This window comes from Homo sapiens, chromosome 15, assembly GCF_000001405.40.
Source record: "Homo sapiens chromosome 15, GRCh38.p14 Primary Assembly".
NCBI classification, from domain to species: Eukaryota; Metazoa; Chordata; class Mammalia; order Primates; family Hominidae; genus Homo; species Homo sapiens.
Window position 1 is genome coordinate 100430369 of NC_000015.10, and position 21130 is coordinate 100451498.

Consider the following 21130-nt stretch of genomic DNA (forward strand, 5'->3'; position numbering starts at 1 on the left):
AGAAAAAAAATACATTCTAATGTTAATAAGATAAAATGCTCATTTGAACTAAATGAACAATCTTTGCCCACAGCATTTCCTTACACCTCTGGGAATGACATCTGTACTACAGCTTCCATAAAATCATAGTGCTGTGTTTTTGAAGTGCTGTAACTAAATGCTGTGCTTGGGAATCTGTGGCTTTGCAGAAATGTCAAAAGCCCAGAAGATTGTGAATTACTCATAATGTCCCACTGCTCTTTGAATGACTCCATGTCTAAATCCGCAGTTGGCAATGAAACAAAGAGCTATATAATAAGCATTTTATGCTGTTTTGAAAGCAAATTTTTAGCTTTCACTGTATGAAAAAAATACATTCAGTCAGTTCAATTTTCTGAACTACTAGCAAAGTACATTCCTTTTTGTTATATAGGTTCTAATTATCCAAGTTGACAAGGTCACAGAAAAAAACAAATTGAGTTTTTTCCCCTTTTTTCCCTCCTCAAGGCAGTTGCATTAAATTTAAATTGAGTTCTGTGAACTCTGGCTACGCGTGGCCGTTTTCCTTTCAGTTGTCTGGAATATGAATTTTCTAGACCAGTGCTTCCCAAACTGTAACATGCTCGCAAATCACCTAGGGTTCTTGGTAAACTACAGATTCTCATGCTGGAGGTCACTGGTGGGGCCTGAGATATTGTATTTCTAGCAGTCCCTGGACTGTACCTGGGCTGATGGTCAGACTGCACTTTGGAGAGCATGGTTGTCTGTTAGACCACAAACCCTCTCTGGATTGCTACTCTTTGTGAAAAGAAAAAGTTGCAGCAGAGGGTTGCCTAAGGGTCTTTCAACTTCTAAAATTCCATGCTTTCAAATAACTTTGACTTCCTTAGTCTCTATATTTCACAAGTAACTTTTCAGTCCAGAAAGGCAACATAAAATTGCAAGTATGTCTCACTTTATATAATAAATGGTTCTTTAAAAATAATCATTTTATAAAATAAATCATGTTTTTAAATTCTCCAGAAAAATGTGCTATTTAAAGAATTCTGTTTTTCTACAAAAGAATCCCAATGTGCTTATTTTCAAGTCTGAATTTTTATCAGTTTTTTTTTCTTTTAGTGCAGAACATCAATGTAACACAAAAGTCCACTAATTTTGTAATATTTTCAAGATGGGAATGTTTGTTGAGGTCATGCCAATTGACTTTACAAATGTAGGGAAGAGTATAGTGATCTCCGCTTTTTAAAAAATAGACCCAGTAAATGGAGTGGCACCATGGACATTTTTCCAGTGGGGAGAAGACACATGCAGCTGGTTTTCTCTGCTTAATCTTGTAGATCTCAGCCTAGGATGCAAATTAGAATCATTTAGTGGAAGAAGAGGACTGTCAAAAATTCCAGTGTCTCGATCTCACCTCTGTAGATTTAACTGGTCTGTGTTGGGACCTGGCTGTATTTTTCTATTAACGCCCAAGCCACTCTAGTTAGCTGTAGTCAACATAGCTAGCATGTAACAAGCTAGCAACACAGCAGTAACAAGTTGATCTGAGGCAAAAAGTCTGGAATCCTGGGAGATCTTCTTTACGGTGTGAGTAGTAGATCTTCTTGTGTGTTAGGCTTAAGTATAATTACAATCCTCCTCTGATTCAAACAAAATAATTAGGACGTTTTCATGAGCTGCCTTGTATAGCATACTCCTGAGTTCCTTTAATAGGCCCTCTTTTGTTTTTTTTTTTAAGAGACAGGGTCTTGTTCCGTTTCCAGGCTAGATTGTGCAGTGGGGCAATCATGGCTCACTGAAGCCTTGACTTCCTGAGCTCAAGCAAACCTCCTGCCTCAGCCTCCCAAACAGCTAGGACTACAAATATGTACCACCACTCCTGGCTTTAATAGGCCTTTTAAACAACAGGTCATCAAAAATATTTAAGCACCTGTCACCAAATGTCAGGCTTTCCCATTCTTAAACAAAAGGCTGGAATGATAACCTGATCAAGCAAAATGAAGTTTAACAAAAAGAAATATAACTTCCAACAAAAACGAAAAACCACTCTCAGCACCAGACAATTCCCCAGTGGAGGAAATGTTGCTTAACAATAGTTCATGTGGAAAAGACATGGAGGCTTAATCAATTTCAAGCTCAGTATGAATTAACAGCATAATGCGACTAACAGCAATGGAAAACTAACCTACATCAATAGAAACAGAATTTTCAGAAAAACAGAGAAAACAGACCTGCTTGATTTTGTATGAGTCAGACCACATCTAGAAAACTGTGCTGACTTCTAGGTATAACATTTAAATAATCTGGATAAAATAGAACAAGAGAGTGATGAGGTAGGTGAAAAGACTCCACAGCATGTCTTAGGAGGTACGTTCGAAAGAGTTGTATGTATTTAGCCTGCAGAAACAGAGTCACGTACGTTCGAAAGAATTGTATGTATTTAGCCTGCAGAAACAGAGTCACGGAAGAGGTGGTAGGGCTTGATGACTGGTATCTGAGGGGCTACCATCTGGTTCTGTGCTGCTCTGCGGAGCTCTCCATAACTGAGATATTGTCAAGGTCACTTGCAAGGTATGTGGTATGAAATTTGGTATTAAAAATAGTTCAGGCCGGGTGCAGTGGCTCACACCTGTAATCCCAGGACTTTGGGAGGCTGAGGTGTGTGGATCATGAGGTCAGGAGATCGAGACCATCCTGGCTAACACGGTGAAACCCCATCTCTACTAAAAATACAAAGAATCAGCCAGGTGTGGTGGCGGGTACCTGTAGTCCCAGCTGCTCAGGAAGCTGAGGCAGGAGAATCGCTTGAACCCAGGAGGCTGAGGTTGCAGCGAGCTGAGATCGCACTGCTGCACTCTGGCCTGGGCAATAGAGCAAGACTCTGTCTCAAAAAAAAAAAAAAAAAATTCAATTCAAGTACCTAAGATTGCAAATGACTTGAGGACTTCTGGGGCTGAAGAACAATGGTGGTAGCCTGATTACAAATTCCCCCCGCCGCCCCACCATTCTCCCCAAACAGCTATAGAATCAACATGAACATATAGCTTCAGGTTTCCTAGGAAACAGAACACTGTTCAGCTTATCTATAAGGAGAAGAAAAAATATATACAAATTCCCCTCTCTAGATGGCAGCCCATATCCAGTAACAGGTTAATGTCCAAATACAGAGGCCCAGCCTCCTTGGCTCAATTGGGTCATCTCTGAAGGGCCACCCAGAACTAGAGCTCTCTGTAGGGTTGGTGGAGGCCTTGGTTGCACCCACATCAGAGTTCAACTTCTCCCTTTGCCCAGCCCAGCTACCCTCACTCCCTCACAGGTGTGGAAGCCCAGGGTATCCCCAGATCCTCCTGTGTATGCATGCCCATGCACACATGTGCACACACACACACACCTATACATGCACACACAAACACTCTCAACTGACATGGCAGGAACAAATAGCAACAGAAAGCTTCAAAGTGGGCAAAGCTTGCCTCAGGCTTTCGCCACAGCCTTGCTGACTTAGATCTCCCCCATTACTCTCTTCCTCTGGACAGCCAATACCCTGGGGCCCTCTTGAGGCCTGGGCTTTCTCCACATTCTTCATGCTGTCTTGCATGCAGGTAGATTTAGGGGCTACCATCCAAACATTAAACAGGTAGCTGCCCATGTAGGGCCTGTTCTGGCCTTAGCCCCTGCAGTCAGGCCTCTGTGGAGAGCTATGAGGAGTGGATCTGGGTTTCCAACCCATCTAGATGACTCAGCAGAGTCAGTTCCATTCCTTTGAAAGACGTGACCATGTTTCCAGGCTCAGACTGAAGACGTCCTAGAAGTATGTCAGTTGCATGGAGGAATCTTGAGGCCGAGGCCCATTGGAAAGGACAGGCATTCCATGATGTCTTAGCTCAGGCATCCAGGTCATTGGCCATGGATCCACGCGAAGAGTGCGTGCCCAGGACTGCTTTGCTCAGGACTTCCTGGGCCTGTCACATGTGCCAAGGAGACACCCTTTGAAGAACACAGCCCCTTTGAGCACCCAGAGTTCCACAGACGGCATGCGTGCTGTTCCCAAATCAGAGCACAGATCAAGCCATCTGCATCATAAATCACTCAGGTGCTAAAGCCCACATGATAAATCAAAATGAAAATGTTTGAAAAACTAATTTCTTTTACCCACATCTACACACTGAATGAGTGTTCAGGAATAAGGTTTCTTTTGTGTCACACAAAACTCTCTTCTGAGACTTAGGTAGTAGGGGTGGGGAGATGGCCACAGGGAGGGTGTGGCCACAGAAAACAGTGGGAGACTAGCAGGGACAGTGCTGGCCAGCATGGGGCCTCCCTATACCTGTTTTTACCAAGCTCTCTGGCCTAAGAACACATTAATAAAACTCTCATATCCTGCTGTGAATGTGCAGATTTATTAACAGGCCACAAACTGTGCCTGTGCCCCGGTCTAAAGTTCAGATTCCATATACGACATCTGTGTGTGTGCGTCTGTTTCTCTACTAATAAAAAGGAGACTATCTCTTCCTTTCAGGATTACATAAAAATTCATTTCGTTTTGGGAAACGACGTTTAAAAATAATGGGAACAAGGGATGTCAGAGTTTCTTGTACTTGGTTCTTCCCCCTCCCTCACCCTCCTTTCCAACTTCAGCAAGACATGGTCTGTGGTTCTGAGGACATCACAGTCCACATTTGGGACAGAGGAAAGAGAGGCAGGATTGGAATCCCACAGATATCAATGCCGTGCTCTCAGGAAGCAGCTCTCATCTTAAGCCCTTTCATTTGCAACTGCCTCCTTTGACTTCCTGCTGGCCAAACGACTTGGGTAGCCCAGCACCTCCAAAGAACTAGTATTTTGAAAACCATTGCCAGAAAACATACAAAGCAAGAACTTTAGCACACTGGAGCTAATATGCAATAAATTGGAGTACGGAAGATCCCTCGTGTGACTAAGTCAGTCCTGAGTGACTGCAGGGAAGACAGGTCTGCTGTTGGAAACAGATGCCAGCAGCCAGAACCTCTTTGAGGAAACAGGGAGTACCAAAGAAAACTGGAATAAAAGCTTGTTTTACACTGGCTAGCCATACACAAAAAACAGAAACTGGACCCCTTCCTTACACCTTATACAAAAATTAACTCAAGATGCATTGAAGTCTTAAATGTAAAACCTAAAACCATAAAAGCCCTAGAAGAAAACCTAGGCAATACCATTCAGGACATAGGCATGGGCAAAGACTTCATGACTAAAACACCAAAAGCAATGGCAACAAAAGCCAGAATTGACAAATGGGATCTAATTAAACTAAAGAGCTTCTGCACAGCAAAAGAAACTAGCATCAGAGTGAACAGGCCACCTATAGAATGGGAGAAAATTTTTGCAATCTATCCATCTGACAAAGGTCTAATATCCAGAATCTACAATGAACTTAAACAAATTTACAAGAAAAAAACAAACAACCCCATCAAAAAGTGGGTCAAGGGTATGAACAGACACTTTTCAAAAGAAGACATCTGTGTGGCCAACAAACATTTGAAAAAGAGCTCATCATCACTGGTCATGAGAGAAATGCAAATCAAAACCACAATGAGATAGCATCTCACACCAGCTAGAATGGTGATCATTAAAAAGTTAGGAAACAACAGATGCTGGTGAGGCTGTGGAGAAATAATGCTTTTACACTGTTGGTGGGAGTGTAAATTAGTTCAACCATTGTGGAAGACAGTGTGGTGAATTTCACAAGGATCTAGAACCAGAAATACCATTTGACCCAGCAATCCCATTACTGGGTATATACCCAAAGGATTATAAATAATTCTACTATAAAGACACATGCATACATATGTTTATTGTAGCACTATTTACAATAGCAAAGACTTGGAACCAACCCAAATGTCCATCAATGATAGACTGGATAAAGAAAATGTGGCACATATACACCATGGAATACTATGCAGCCATAAAAAAGAATGAGTTCATGTCCTTTGCAGGAACGTGGATGAAGCTGGAAACCATCATTCTCAGCAAACTAACACAAGAACAGAAAACCAAACACTGCCTGTTCTCACTCGTAAGTAGAAGTTGAACAACGAGAACACATGGACACAGGGAGGGGAACATCACACACCGAGGCCTATCGGGGCTGGGGGGCAAGGGGAGGAAGAGCATTAGGACAAATACCTAATGCATGCAAGGCTTAAAAACTAGGTGATGGGTTGATAGGTGCAGCAAACTACCATGGCACATGTATACATATATAACAAACCTGCATGTTCTGCACATGTATCCCAGAGCTTAAAGTAAAATAAATAAATAAATAAATAAAATAAGATGCTAATAAGAAAAATGTTTTTAATAATGCTAACAGACCAGTTTTGCATAATCATAGTGATAGGACACCAGCTATAGGGGATTCTAAAAGTACAAAAAAAAGAGATTGTTTTACTTATTTAAACATCCTAGTATACTGTTTTCCATCAGAGGTCAGTTTGCCTAAAATTAAGAGCTGAAAAGACACGCTGTTATCATCAGCAACAGAGAGAGACACTGCAACATCTAAATGTGGTAATCATGATGATCCTATAGGAAGTAGCATCTGTTCTTTCCTGACTTTTTTTTTTTTTTTTTTTGAGATGGAGTCTCACTCTGTCATCCAGGTTGGAGTGCAGTGGTGCAATCTCCACTCACTGCAAGCTCCGCCTCCTGGGTTCATGCCATTCTCCTGCCTTGGCCTCCTGAGAAGCTGGGACTACAGGTGCGCTCCACCATGCCCGGCTAATTTTTTTTGTATTTTTAGTAGAGACAGTGTTTCACCGTGTTAGCCAGGATGGTCTTGATCTCCTGACCTCGTGATCCGCCTGCCTTGGCCTCCCAAAGTGCTGGGATTACAGGTATGAGCCACCGCACCTGGCCTACATTGACAGCATTTCTAACATACTTTATTTCAACAATCAGTCTTTGTGATATTTTTATAAATTATTGTTCAGGAAAGTGCAGTTTTACATTCACTCTTACCTACTAGCAGAATAGACTTAGAGGCTTCTTGGATGTTACAGACTTTGTGTTCTTCCCTAACATGTTGACATCTACGAGGATGTGTCAAAAATGACCACCTGGAATGTGAGTCATGAAAGTCAACTGGCAAAAGACAGCTTAGAAAACTGTCACTGGAGCCTTGGGTTTCAAGTCAAGGACTCACAATGTCAGCTGCAGCACTGTCTGCCTGAGCAAAATGAAGAGGCTTGCTGAGAGCCAACTGCCCGACAACGACTCATTCCCAGGCTCTCTGTAGTTTGGTAGAAAGAACCTGCTAAAGTAGTAATATTGATCATATTGATCATGACAATGGCAGCTAACATTTATCATGTGCTTACTATGTGCCACCCACTGTTCTAAGGGCTTTATCCTTCAATGCAGGCACTAATATCATGATCCCCATTTTACAGGTGAAGAAACCGAGGCAATGAACAAAGTAATATACCCAAGATCACATTGCCAGTGAATGGGAGAGCTGACGTTTCAATCTACACAGAACCTGTGCTCTTAGCTATCTAACCGCTTTACTTGGAAGTGATGTGAGATTAAAAAAAGAAGAAAAACAAAATATTTTCTTATGCTTTCAAAAAGTTCAAAAGTAAGTTACAAGATTTATGCTGCATTTTAATCTATGATCTTGATTACTCATCAATTGGATTATGTACCCACTTTTTTTTTTTTTTTTTTTTTGAGATGGAGTCTCACTCTGTCTCCCAGGCTGGAGTGGAGTGCAGTGGTGTGATCTTGGCTCACTGCAACCTCCACCTCTCTGGTTCAAGCAATTCTCCCACCTCAGCCTCCCAAGTGGCTGGGGTTACAGGCCCACACCACCACGCCCAGCTAATTTTTGTATTTTTAGTAGAGACAGGGTTTTGCCATGTTGGTTAGGCTGGTTTCAATCTCCTGACCTCAGGTGATCCTCCCACCTCAGCCTCCCAAAGTGCTAGGATTCCAGTCATAAGCCACTGTGCCCGGCCTGTATTCACTATTTATTTTTATTTTTTGAAATTTTTGTGGGTACCCAGTAGGTGTATACATATATATATTTTAACTCTTGAAAATTTTTGAATATTCACTATTTTATAACTCCATACAAGTATTTTAAACTAATTTTCTGGTTTTTCTAGTTATTAATTTTTTTACCTTAACTCAAATAAAGAATAATTTAAAAGGTGAAGTGTTACAAGTTAAGAGACTCAAGTTCTAGTCTTGGCTTTGCCATGAAATTACTGTGTGAATTTGGTCTAGGCTTTGGTTTCCTCATGTTTGTTAGCATGTTCCTCTCTTTAGCTAAAACAGTTCAGTGTATGTAAAGTGTCATTCTATGAACTGAAGAGATCCTGCCTGTTGAGTTGCAGATGGCTGGGCAGGTTGCCAAGGGGCTGGTTTCTCCATGCTGGCTTTTGTGTCTGCATGCTACAGTTCCCCCCGCACGTCTTGACTACTCACCAGCACAAGATATCACACAGACATGCTTGAGCTGGCCAGGATCCAGGATGATATTTAGAAAGAAGAGAATAAAAGCTTAAGGATGATCAAGTCCTCTTAAGTAATATTAAACAAAAGCATACTATTTTCCTTCTAATTTCCTCTCAAGGCACTTCTCATGTTAGCAAAGAAAATGACAAGATGAGTGTCAGCCTGTCATATTTTCTGATGTAATGTATGGGCTAGTAGCTCATCACAAAATCAACCATTTTATAGGAACTAGATAAGTTTCAGTGCCAAGCCTTGTTCTCAAGCAGCAGGATGCCTGCTAAGCAGGGTCCATATAAGCTAGAGTTTTGAAATTATAGTGATATTTTTATTTTAAGGCATTCAAGAGCAAAAGCAAATAGTGGAAGGTTCTCATTCATCAAATGCAATGACCTTATTGTTTAGAAAAAATAAGATGTGACTATTACCAAAAATGCTATTTTAAAAGTATAATCACCTTCTTTTCAGTCTGCCATGAAAATTCATGGAGACCAAAAATGATTAATACATTATTTTGTAACTTGCTACCCAAAACAGGGTGGTTTGTTTTCCAAATTTTGTATTCTTTGCATATTTAAAGTTACTTACTGAGAGTTTTCCATGTGTAAGGAATTGAAGGAACAAACTCACAATCTCTGTTACAAGATTTAAAAGAAATTTTTGGAGGCACATGAACATCTGCAATTTCATTTGTAAAGTATCCAAGAATCTGTCGCCTTAGTAACAATCAAATGCATTAAATGCTAAACGCTGATTAAATAGAGTTGAAAATGGATTTGTTAGTTATCCCTCTAAGAATTTTAACTCCAGCCGCTAGCCCTCTCCTCCCCTTTGCAATGCAACTATGCCTTCAAATAGTGTTCTTTAAAAGGAGGCTTTACGGCTTTGGAGGAATAAGCTGATTTCACAGCCAGTTTTGCCACTGCTGTGGAAAACAGAGTACACATGCAAGACTGCTGAAGTCATACAAACTGCAAGGATTATGGCTGTGGGGGCCTCCACAACTCCTGTCAAACTGCAATTGGAAACAGCTTCTCCAAAGGACAACATGAGAAATCAGGAATTCTTGTCCATGGCTCCCCAACCTGCTGGGTTTCTAATCAGGCCTGGCATGACCCATTAGAGATCAGACATAGGAAAATCACAATGAAACTAGGGTATCTTCTGTTTTCCAAGCTTCACTCCCCCAGATCCTTTTCAAGCCTGTAATTATTGTCTCTCACCAGTTAATAAGGGAACCGTTTCTCCATGGGGACAGGAGCTTCTGGAAGGCTGGACCCAATCATTACAGGCTCAGTCCAGGGCCTTTCCTTCACACCAACTACTGCAGGTACAAACTGTCTAACTGATCCAGTTCTTATTTAACTTGTCTCAGTTACTTCGACTTTATCACTCACTCAGAGATAAGACAACTGTCAGTCCTCTGAGCCTAAGCTAAGCCATCATATCCCCTGTGACCTGCACATACACATCCAGATGGCCTGTTCCTGCCTTAACTGATGACATTATCTTGTGAAATTCCTTCTCCTGGCTCATTCTGGCTCAAAAGCTCCCCTACTGAGCACCTTGTGACCCCCACTCCTGCCCACCAGAGAACAAACCCCCTTTTTCCTTTACCTACCCAAATCCTATAAAACGGCCCCACCCCTATCTCCCTTCACTGACTCTCTATTCGGACTCAGCCTGCCTGCACCCAGGTGAAATAAACAGCCTTGTTGCTTACACAAAGCCTGTTTGGTGGTCTCTTCACACGGACGTGCGTGAAATTTGGTGCTGTGACTGGAGGGGGGGAACCTCCCTTGGGAGATCAATCCCCTGTCCTCCTGCTCTTTGCTCTGTGAGAAAGATCCACCTACGACCTCAGGTCCTCAGACCGACCAGCCCAAGAAACATCTCACCAATTTCAAATCCGGTAAGCGGCCTCTTTTTACTGTCTTCTCGAACCTCTCTCGCTATCCCTCAACCTCTTTCTCCTTTCAATCTTGGCACCACACTTCAATTTCTCCCTTCTCTTAATTTCAATTCCTTTCATTTTCTGGTAGAGACAAAGGAGACATGTTTTATCCATGGACCCAAAACTCCGGCACTGGTCACGGACTAGGGAAGGCAGCCTTCCCTTGGTGTTTAATCATTGCAGGGACGCCTCTCTGATTATTCACCCATGTTTCAAAGGTGTCAGACCACGCAGGGATGCCTGCCTTGGTCCTTCACCCTTAGCGGCAAGTCCCGCTTTTCTGGGGGAGGGGCAGGAACCCCGACCTCTTATCTCTGCGCCCTGATCCCTTATTTCCACACCCTGACCTCTTATCTCTGTGCCTCAATCTCTTATTTCTGCACCCCGACCTCTTATCTCTGCGCCCTGATCCCTTATTTCTGCACCCCAACCTCTTATCTCTGTGCCCCTACCCCTTATTTCCATGCCCCAACCCCTTATCTCTGCGCCCTGATCCCTTATTTCTGCACCCCGACCTCTTATCTCTGTGCCCCGATCCCTTATTTCCATGCCCCGACCCCTTATCTCTGCACCCCAATCCCTTATTTCTGCACCCTGACCACTTATCTCTGTGCCCCAACCCCTTACTTCCACGCCCCAACCCCTTTCTCGCTTTTCTGGAGGGTAAAAACACCCGAACCCCTTCCCTCCGTGTCTCTACCCTTCTCTTTAAACTTGCCTCCTTCACTATGGGCAACCTTCCACCCTCCATTCCCCCTTCTTCTCCCTTAGCCTGTGTTCTCAAAAACCTAAAACCTCTTTAACTCGCACCTGACCTAAAACCTAAATGCCTTATTTTCTTCTGCAATGCCGCTTGACCCCAATACAAACTTGACAGTGGTTCCAAATAGCCAGAAAATGGCACTTTCAATTTTTCCATCCTACAAAATCTAAATAATTCTTTTCGTAAAATAGGCAAACGGTCTGAGGTGCCTGACGTCCAGGCATTCTTTTACACATCAGTCCCCCCCAGTCTGTGTTCCCAGTGCAACTCATCCCAAATCTTCCTTCTTTCCCTCCCGCCTGTCCCCTCAGTCCCAACCCCAAGCGTCGCTGAGTCTTTCTAATCTTCCTTTTCTACAGACCCATCTGACCTCTCCCCTCCTCACCAGGCTGAGCTAGGTCCCAATTCTTCCTCAGCCTCCGCTCCTCCACCATATAATACTTATATCACCTCCCCTCCTCACACCCAGGCCGGCTTACAGTTTTGTTCCATGACTAGCCCTCCCCTACCTGCCCAGCAATTTACTCTTAAAAAGGTGGCTGGAGAGCTAAAGGCATAGTCAAGGTTAACGCTCCTTTTTCTTTATTCCAAATCAGATAGTGTTTAGGCTCTTTTTCATCAAATATAAAAACCCAGCCCAGTTCATGACTCGTTTGGCAGCAACCCTGAGACACTTTACAGCCCTAGACCCTAAAAGGTCAAAAGGGCCGTCTTATTCTCAATATAAATTTTATTACCCAATCTGCTCCCAACATTAAATAAAACTCCAAAAATTAAATTCCGGCCCTTTAACCCCACAACAGGATTTAATTAACCTCGCCTTCAAGGTGTACAATAATAGAATAGAGGCAGCCAAGTAACAATGTATTTCTGAGTTGCAATTCCTTGCCTCCACTGTGAGACAAACCCCAGCCACATCTCCAGCACACAAGAACTTCCAAATACCTGAACTGCAGCGGCCAGGCATTCCTCCAGAACTGCCTCCCCCAGGAGCTTGCTACAAGTGCCAGAAATCTGGCCACCAGGCCAAGGAATGCTCGCAGCCTGGGATTCCTCCTAAGCCGTGTCCTGTCTATGCGGGACCCCACTGAAAATCAGACTGTTCAACTCACCTGGCAGCCACTCCCAGAGCCCCTGGAACTCCGGCCCAAGGCTCTCTGACTGACTCCTTCCCAGATCTTCTCGGCTTAGCAGCTGAAGACTGACACTGCCCGATCACCTCGGAAGCCCCCTAGACCATCACGGACGCCGAGCTGCCAGTAACTCTCACAGTGGAAGGTAAGCCCATCCCCTTCTTAATCAATACGGAGGCTACCCACTCCACATTACCTTCTTTACAAAGGCCTGTTTCCCTTGCCTCCATAACTGTTGTGGGTATTGACGGCCAGGCTTCTAAATCTCTTAAAACTCCCCAACTCTGGTGCCAACTTAGACAATACTCTTTTAAGCACTCCTTTTTAGTTATCCCCACCTGCCCAGTTCCCTTATTAGGCCGAGACACTTTAACTAAATTATCTGCTTCCCTGACTATTCCTGGGCTACAGCCACACCTCATTACTGCCCTTCTTCCCAATCCAAAGCCTCCTTTGCGTCCTCCTCTTGTATCCCCCTACCTTAACCCACAAGTATAAGATACCTCTACTCCCTCCTTGGTGACCGATCATGCACCCCTTACCATCTCATTGAAACCTAATCACCCTTACCCCGCTCAACGCCAATATCCCATCCCACAGCATGCTTTGAAAAGACTAAAGCCTGTTATCACTCTCCTGCTACAGCATGGCCTTTTAAAGCCTATAAACTCTCCTTACAATTCCCCCATTTCACTTGTCCTAAAACCAGACAAGCCTTACAAGTTAGTTCAGGATCTATGCCTTATCAACCACATTGTTTTGCCTATCCACCCCATGGTGTCAAACCCATATACTCTCCTATCCTCAATACCTCACTCCATAATCCATTATTGTGTTCTGGATCTCAAACATGCTTTCTTTACTATTCCTTTGCACCCTTCATCCCAGCCTCTTTTCACTTTCACTTGGACTGACCCTGACACCCATCAGGCTCAGCAAATTACCTGGGCTGTACTGCCCCAAAGCTTCACAGACAGCCCCCATTACTTTAGTCAAGCCCAAATTTCTTCCTTACCTGTTACCTATCTTAGCATAATTCTCATAAAGACACACGTGCTCTCCCTGCCGATAGTGTCCGACTGATCTCTCAAACCCCAGCACCTTCTACAAAACAACAACTCCTTTCCTTCCTAGGCACGGTTAGATACTTTCACCTTTAGATACCTGGTTTTGCCATCCTAAAAAAACCATTCTATAAACTCACAAAAGGAAACGTAGCTGACCCCAAAGATCCTAAATCCTTTCCCCACTCCTCTTTCCGTTCCTTGAAGACAGCTTTAGAGACTGCCCCCATTCTAGCTCTCCCTGACTCATCCCAACCCTTTTCATTACACACAGCTGAAGTGCAGGGCTGTGCAATCAGAATTCTTACACAGGGACCAGGATCACATCCTGTAGACTTTTTGTCCAAACAACTTGACCTTACTGTTTCAGGCTGGCCATCATGTCTCCGTGCAGTGGCTGCTGCTGCCTTAATACTTTTAGAAGCCCTTAAAATCACAAACTATGCTCAACTCACTCTCTACAGCTCTCATAACTTCCAAAATCTATTTTCTTCCTCACACCTGACATATATACTTTCTGCTCCCCGGCTCCTTCAGCTGTACTCACTCTTTGTTGAGTCTCCCACAATTACCATTGTTCCTGGCCCGGACTTCAATCCGGCCTCCCACATTATTCCGGATACACACCTGACCCCCATGACTGCATCTCTCTGATCCACCTGACGTTCACCCCATTTCCCCACATTTCCTTCTTCCCTGCTTCTCACCCTGATCACACTTGGTTTATGGATGGCAGTTCCACCAGGCGTAATCGCCACACACCAGCAAAGGCAGGCTGTGCTATAGTACAAGCCGCTAGCCCGCCTCTTAGAACCTCTCATTTCCTTTCCATCGTGGAAATCTATCCTCAAGGAAATAACTTCTCAGTGTTCCATCTGCTATTCTACTGCTCCTCAGGGATTATTCAGGCCCCCTCCCTTCCCTACACATCAAGCTCAGGGATTTGCCTCCACCCAGGACTGGCAAATTAGCTTTACTCAACATGCCCTGAGTCAGGAAACTAAAATACCTCTTGGTTTAGGTAGACACTTTCACTGGATAGGTAGAGGCCTTTCCCACAAGGTCTAAGAAGGCCACCATGGTCATTTCTTCCCTTCTGTCAGACATAATTCCTCGGTTTGGCCTTCCCACCTCTATATAGTCCAATAGCAGACCGGCCTTTATTCATCAAATCAGCCAAGCGTTTTTTCAGGTTCTTAGTATTCAGTGAAACCTTTATATCCCTTACAGTCCTCAGTCTTCAGGAAAGGTAGAACGGACTAATGGTCTTTTAAAAACATACCTCACCAAGCTCAGCCACCAACTTAAAAAGGACTGGACAATACTTTTACCACTTTCCCTTCTCAGAATTCAGGCCTGTCCTTGGAATGCTACAAGGTACAGCCCATTTGAGCTCCTGTATAGACGCTCCTTTTTATTAGGCCCCAGTCTCATTCCAGACACCAGACCAACTTGGACTGTGCCCCAAAAAACTTGTCATCCCTACTATCTCCTGTCTAGTCGTACTCCTATTCACCATTCTCAACTACTCATACGTGCCCTGCTCTTGTTTACACTGCCAGTTTACACTGTTTCTCCAAGCCATCACAGCTGATATCTCCTGGTGCTATCCCCAAACCGCCACTCTTAACTCTTAAAGTAAATAAATAATTTTTGCGGGCAAGGCTATGCTGCACCTCCTTTGGCACTCTCTAATTAGATGTCCTAGGTCCTCCCAATTCTTAGTCCTTTAAAACCTGTTTTTCTCCTTCTCTTATTCCGTTTAGTTTTTCAATTCATACAAAACTGTATCCAGGCCATCACCAATAATTCTAAATGACAAATGTTTCTTCTAACAACCGCACAATATCACCCCTTACCACAAAATCTTCCTTCAGCTTAATCTCTCCCACTCTAGGTTCCCACGCCGCCCCTAATCCCACTCGAAGCAGCCCTGAGAAACATCGCCCATTATATCTCCATACCATCCCCCAAAATTTTCACCGTCCCAACACTTTACCACTATTTCATTTTATTTTTCTTATTAATATAAGAAGACAGGAATGTCAGGCCTCTGAGCCCAGGCTAAGCCATCATATCCCCTGTGACCTGCACATACACATCCAGATGGCCTGTTCCTGCCGTAACTGATGACAGTCCACCACAAAAGAAGTGAAAATGGCCTGTTCCTGCCTTAACGATGACGTTATCTTGTGAAATTCCTTCTCCTGGCTCATCCTGGCTCAAAAGCTCCCCTGCTGAGCACCTTGTGACCCCCACTCCTGCCCACTAGAGAACAACCCCCCTTTTTCCTTTACCTACCCAAATCCTATAAAACGGCCCCACCCCTATCTCCCTTCACTGACTCTCTTTTCGGACTCAGCCCGCCTGCACCCAGGTGCAATAAACAGCCTTGTTGCTCACACAAAGCCTGTTTGGTGGTCTCTTCACACAGACGTGCATGAAAACAACTTTTTCAGAGATCACAGAAAAGCTATTTAGAACTTTAATAAACTAGAACCATTCAATGAAAGTTTTTTTTTTTTGGCACCACAACTTTAACAGGAAAAGTTGGCTCTCAAGAAAACAAGGTCATCAGTAATTCAGTTCAAGAAGAAACTTCTCAGGTTTTTTTTTTTTTTTTTCTTTAGATTAACCGAGATGTGGGCTAATTTCCCATACCTCTGTGAAGATCTAGAAGCTAAGAGATGGTAGAAAACTCAGAGGTCAATTACGGCAGTTTCCATTTCCTTTGCCAACTCTTCAGTGATCTTTGAGGCACATTTACTAAAGTTGGAAAACTAATTAATCAAAGAGTTGATTAAAAACTGAGCTTATCAGACTAACTGCCAGCATCCTTGGTACACACAAGTCACTCAATCTGACAATATAGTGCTGTATATATTATACACGGATAGTAACACCTAAATGTGAGCCAGCTATAACTTTCAACTCAAAAGATCCTTAATGAAAACTCCCTTATGTAAACCAAAAATAAAATTCTAAACCCCCAACTGCCTGATGGACCCCCTCTCAGCCAAGGACATTCCAATGTAAACCTGAAAATCTAGTTGAGGCCATGATGGGAAGTGAGAGTCAGACACACCTCATTATACACCCTCCTTCCTTTGGAATCCAGGCACAGCTGACCATCAGTAACATTAAAACAGAGATCTTAAGACTGACTTTTGTAGCAATAAGACACCAAGTTCCAGCCTGACTCTAGTATAACATCACATAATAGATAGCAGCCCCTGAAAGAAATTGAAATATTTTACTCCAAAATATATTCCTTTGATATAGTTTGAAATGGCCCTACCAAACTGTCTCTTGTGGAGCAAACCTACATTTTGCGGAGAATCACCTTTCCTTTCTGGATCTTTCCTCTGATCCAGGAGAGAATGAATTAACAGTCTGGCACCTTTTAAGGTCTCATAACAGCACTGAAGTCAGCTACCTGGAGGCTCATCAGCATAATAAAACCTTGGTCTCCACAACTCCTTATCTTAATACAGACATTCCTTTCTATTGATTTCAGCTCTTATCTAATGAGTTATCTAATAACTCTTTCAAGCAATTGCCAATCAGAAAAATCTCTGAATCTGCCTATGACCTGAAAGCCCCCTACTTCCAGTTGTCTTGCCTTTCCAGACCAAAGCAATGTACATCTTACATGCATTGACTGATGACTTATATCTCCCTAAAATGTCTAAAACCAAGTTGTAGTCCAACCACCTTGGGCACATGTTCTCAGGATCTCCTGCGGCTGTGTCATGGGCCACTGGTCATTCGTATTTGGTTCAGGATAAATCTATTCAAATATTTTACAGAGTTTGACTCTTTTCATCAACACTTAGTGGTAGGTTATGATTTTAAGACAAAGCAGAAATGCGATCTTTTTCACTTGCTTTAAAGGCTCAACTCAAACTCCATCACTCAATGAAACATTTCCTGGTCCCTTGAGTTAATTTCTCTTTTTAGCTTTTCTTCCATGGCAAGTTTCTGGGGCCTGTATGTACCACAGGACATTCTGTATGCTATAGTTAGTTGCCGGTAGATGAACATTCCCCCACTAGATGGTGGGCTATTTCCCCTAAAGTCAGGGATTATCTTATTCATCTCTGTTGCCTTTCCCTCACTGTGTTCTGGAATTAAAGCACAGAACCTAATTCAAAACAACACAAACAAAAAACCTTCAATAGTCTAAAAGTTTGAATCAATAGTCTAATCAATTTGTTATTATTTAGAGAAGATGTTTTCAGAAACAAAGCATAGTAAAATGATGGACAGTATTTCAGAGGCTAGTGGGGAACAAGCTCGGGGGAGAGCGTTATGTGCAATTTGGATATTCAATAAAAATAAACATAAGGCTCTGAAGTATTATTCAATTATCATCATAAAGGTTGTCCAAAACTGGAGCAAGTTTTGACTCATTAGGGGATTCTTTAAAAAGCAGCAAAATCGAGAATAACTAGAGGCATCGGGTACATGCCTCCTCCACAGAGGAACCAAATAGCGAGTAGATAATCACACTTTGAACAGATCCTCTAAGAGAAGAGTAGAATTCAACAGAGAAGTGACAGGAAACACTTAAGGCAAAAAAGGAAAGGGAAGCCAAGACCGTCTGCTCAGCTAAGAACCTGGAGATACTCCCCAATGTGGGAAAAGGGTAAGTAAGAGATCTCAGTAGTCCACATTCCCATCATGGACTCCTGCAATCCTAGCCACAGGAGAGGCTCTCAACTCTCACAGGCCATAAGACTAACATAGAGAGCTGCCTAGAGTTGACACAAAAGCATTGCTCCATAGAAGGAGCTCATACGAGGTCCCACATACCCCCTGAGTCCTAAGCAGCTACAGCACAGTGCCATTTTGAGAGCCTAGCCTCCGCCAAACTGCAGCCTGTGCTGAAGCACAACAGTCCCTGCATCTACACATTCCTGGAGCCCCACTGACATTCCCCATGTGGGGGCACTGCTGTGGCTGGCTGTTGCTACCAGGGCTGAAGCAGTAACTATTGACAGTGGCCCTGATATCCCCAGTAGTGTGCCATCACACATTTTTATGTGTCCCACTGCTGGATGCCACTACCAGGGCCAAAGTGCAAGCCACTGGCAGTGACCCCACTTCCTTAGTAGTAGAGTCAGCATGCATTTACAAGTGTCCTAAGGACAGGTTACCCTATCCACAGCTGCTACCTGGGGATGAAGCTTGTGCTCCCTAGCCAACCACCTGCAGGTGCTGCCACTGAAAGTAACCCCACTCTTCCCAGTAGCAGGGCACCCTGCCCCTGCCTACCACAACCAGCACATGCGTGCACCACAGCAGGGCCTGAGGATAGGTCTGCTTCGCCTGGTTCCACACTCCCTCCCCCTACTGCCCAAGTATACCATTGGAAGGCCCAGAAATTAACTGGCTGTGTTCACAATGATTGGTATCTGAGCACTCCTCCCAGGTTGTGCCGACCTAACCTGCTGCTATCACCACAGCTAGTACTCACCTGCACATGCAACCTGCAGGCCTGGGGACTGGCCGTCCTATCCCATTGCAGCCACTGCCAACACCAATGCAGACCACTTGGGAGCCAGAGGATTGTTAAGTGACTGCTACCGCCATTGCCCATGCCACAGCTTCTGCCTAGGGGCCCAAAGGCCAACCTACCTCCTGCCCCATCACTGCCACTGTTGGCACCTGGGAAAGCTATCTGAAGGCCCAAGAATCAGCCCGCCTGGAGCTGCTAACACTAGTGCCCAAGGACAGGACCATTTGGCCCACTGCTGCCACCACTGGGGCCCAAGGACTAGCCCACTTGGCATTCCCATCCCCAGCAAAACCTCACCACAGTCTCCAATAACTGCACCCTGAGCCAATGAAAAATTCACAGACACCACTGAGGTTGTTTATAGCCAAAAAAAATCACATAATGACTACAATATTGCATGCACCCAGAATCACAACCAAAGTTCCCTACCAACAACCACTGCAAGTACATCTTCAGGAAAATATCCTCCTCTATGAAAACAAATTTTAAAAAATGTAAGAAGCAACTGTTATACCAGATGTGTAGATATCAATTTAAGGACACGGAAACATAAAAAAGCAAGGAAATCTAATACCTTCAAAAAACACAATAATTCTCCAGCAACAGGTTCCAATAAAAACAAACTTAAGATATCCCTGAAAAAGAACTCAATATAATTATATTAAAGAACCTCAGTGAGATATAAGAGAACACAGATAAACAATACAAGGAAATCAGAAAAACAATTCATAATGTGAATGAGAGGTTTACCAAAGAGATAGAGATCGTAAAAAAAAGAACCAAACAGAAATTCTGGAAGTAAAGAATTCATTTGAATGAAATACAAAATACTTTCAAATGCTTTAAAAATAGACTAGATTGGCCAGGTGTGGTGGCTCACTCCTGTAATCCCAGCACTTTAGGAGGCCAAGGTGGGCAGATCATGAGGTCAGGAGACCAAAACCATTCTGGCCAACATGGTGAAACCCCTTCTTTACTAAAATACAAAAAATTAGCTGGGCATGTGGCATGCACCGGTAGTCCCAGCTACTCAGGAGGTTGAGGCAGGGGAATTGCTTGAACTTGGCAGGCAGAAGTTGCAGTGAGCCAAGATCGTGCCACTGCACTCCAGCCTGGCAACACAGCAAGACTCTGTCTCAAAAAAAAAAAAAAAAAAAAAAAGACTAGATCAAGCAGAAGAAAGAATTTCAGAACTTGAAGACAGGTCTTTTGAAAGAACTCCATTAGATAAAAATAAAGAAAAAAATGAAAAAAGAATGAACATAGCCTACAGGACATATGGGACACTGTAAGGGAAACAACTTATTGAACTTTTGGTGTTTCAGAGGTGAAAATAAAATAAAAAAGATAGAAACCTATTTAACAAAATAATAGCTGAAGTGTTCCCAAGTTTGCAAGAGATTTAGACATCCAGATACAAGAAGTTCAGAGATTCACAAATAGACATGATTCTTAAAGGTCTTTACTGCATATTATAGTCAAACTGTTGGAAGTCAAAAACAAAGATAGCATTCTAAGAACAGCAACAGAAATGTGTCTAGTCACCTGTAAGGGAACCATCATCGGACTAACAACAGAAACCTTACAGGCCAGGGGAAAATGGGATGATATGGCCATAGTCCTGAAAGTGGGGGAGGGGGGGAACCTGTTAGCCAAGAATTCTATACTCAGAAAACTTATCTTTTATAAATGTAGAAGAAATAAAGTATTTTCCAGATATGCAAAAACTAAGGGAATTCATCACAACTACACTGGCCCTACAAGAAATGCTTCAGGCAGTTCTACATCCAGAAGTGAAAAAATCATATCTACCAGCATGAAAACAGAAAAGTATAAAACATACTGGTAGAACAAACACATAAATGAAGAAGAGAAAGGACTCAAATGTTACCACTGCAGAAAACCACCAAACCACAATGATAAACAGTAAGAGAGAAAGAAAGAAACAAAGGATATACAGAACAACTAGAAATTAATTAATAAAATGACAGAAATAACCCCTCACATATTAATACTAACCTTGAATGTAAACAGATTAAACTTTCCACTTAAAAGATATAGACTAGCTGAATGGATTTAAAAATGACTCACTATATGCTGCCTACAAGAAGTTTATTTCACCTGTGAAAACACATATAGACTAGGCCAGGCATGGTGGCTCATGCCTGTAATCCCAGCACTTTGGGAGGCCAAGGTGGGAAGATCACAAGGTCAGGAGAT

General features: G+C 43.1%; 1 protein-coding gene and 1 long non-coding RNA gene across 10 annotated transcripts in view, besides 2 other annotated features; one reads left to right on the forward strand and one right to left on the reverse strand.

Moving 5' to 3' along the window:
* Positions 1–7546, forward strand: part of CERS3-AS1 (CERS3 antisense RNA 1) — a 64976-nt gene extending 57430 nt beyond the window's left edge. The window contains exon 5 of the long non-coding RNA NR_120374.1: positions 7410–7546. This is a non-coding gene — a long non-coding RNA (CERS3 antisense RNA 1). The remainder of the gene's footprint in view (positions 1–7409) is intronic.
* Positions 1–21130, reverse strand: part of CERS3 (ceramide synthase 3) — a 144289-nt gene that overhangs the window by 29974 nt on the left and 93185 nt on the right. The gene's annotated exons all lie outside the window — the stretch shown is intronic.
* Positions 8267–8316: an enhancer, noted in NCBI's record as "active region_10168". NCBI's record gives its function as "activates an Ori minimal core promoter by ATAC-STARR-seq in GM12878 lymphoblastoid cells {active_cell/tissue: GM12878}" and the evidence as "EXISTENCE:reporter gene assay evidence [ECO:0000049][PMID:35858748]".
* Positions 8427–8476: an enhancer, noted in NCBI's record as "active region_10169". NCBI's record gives its function as "activates an Ori minimal core promoter by ATAC-STARR-seq in GM12878 lymphoblastoid cells {active_cell/tissue: GM12878}" and the evidence as "EXISTENCE:reporter gene assay evidence [ECO:0000049][PMID:35858748]".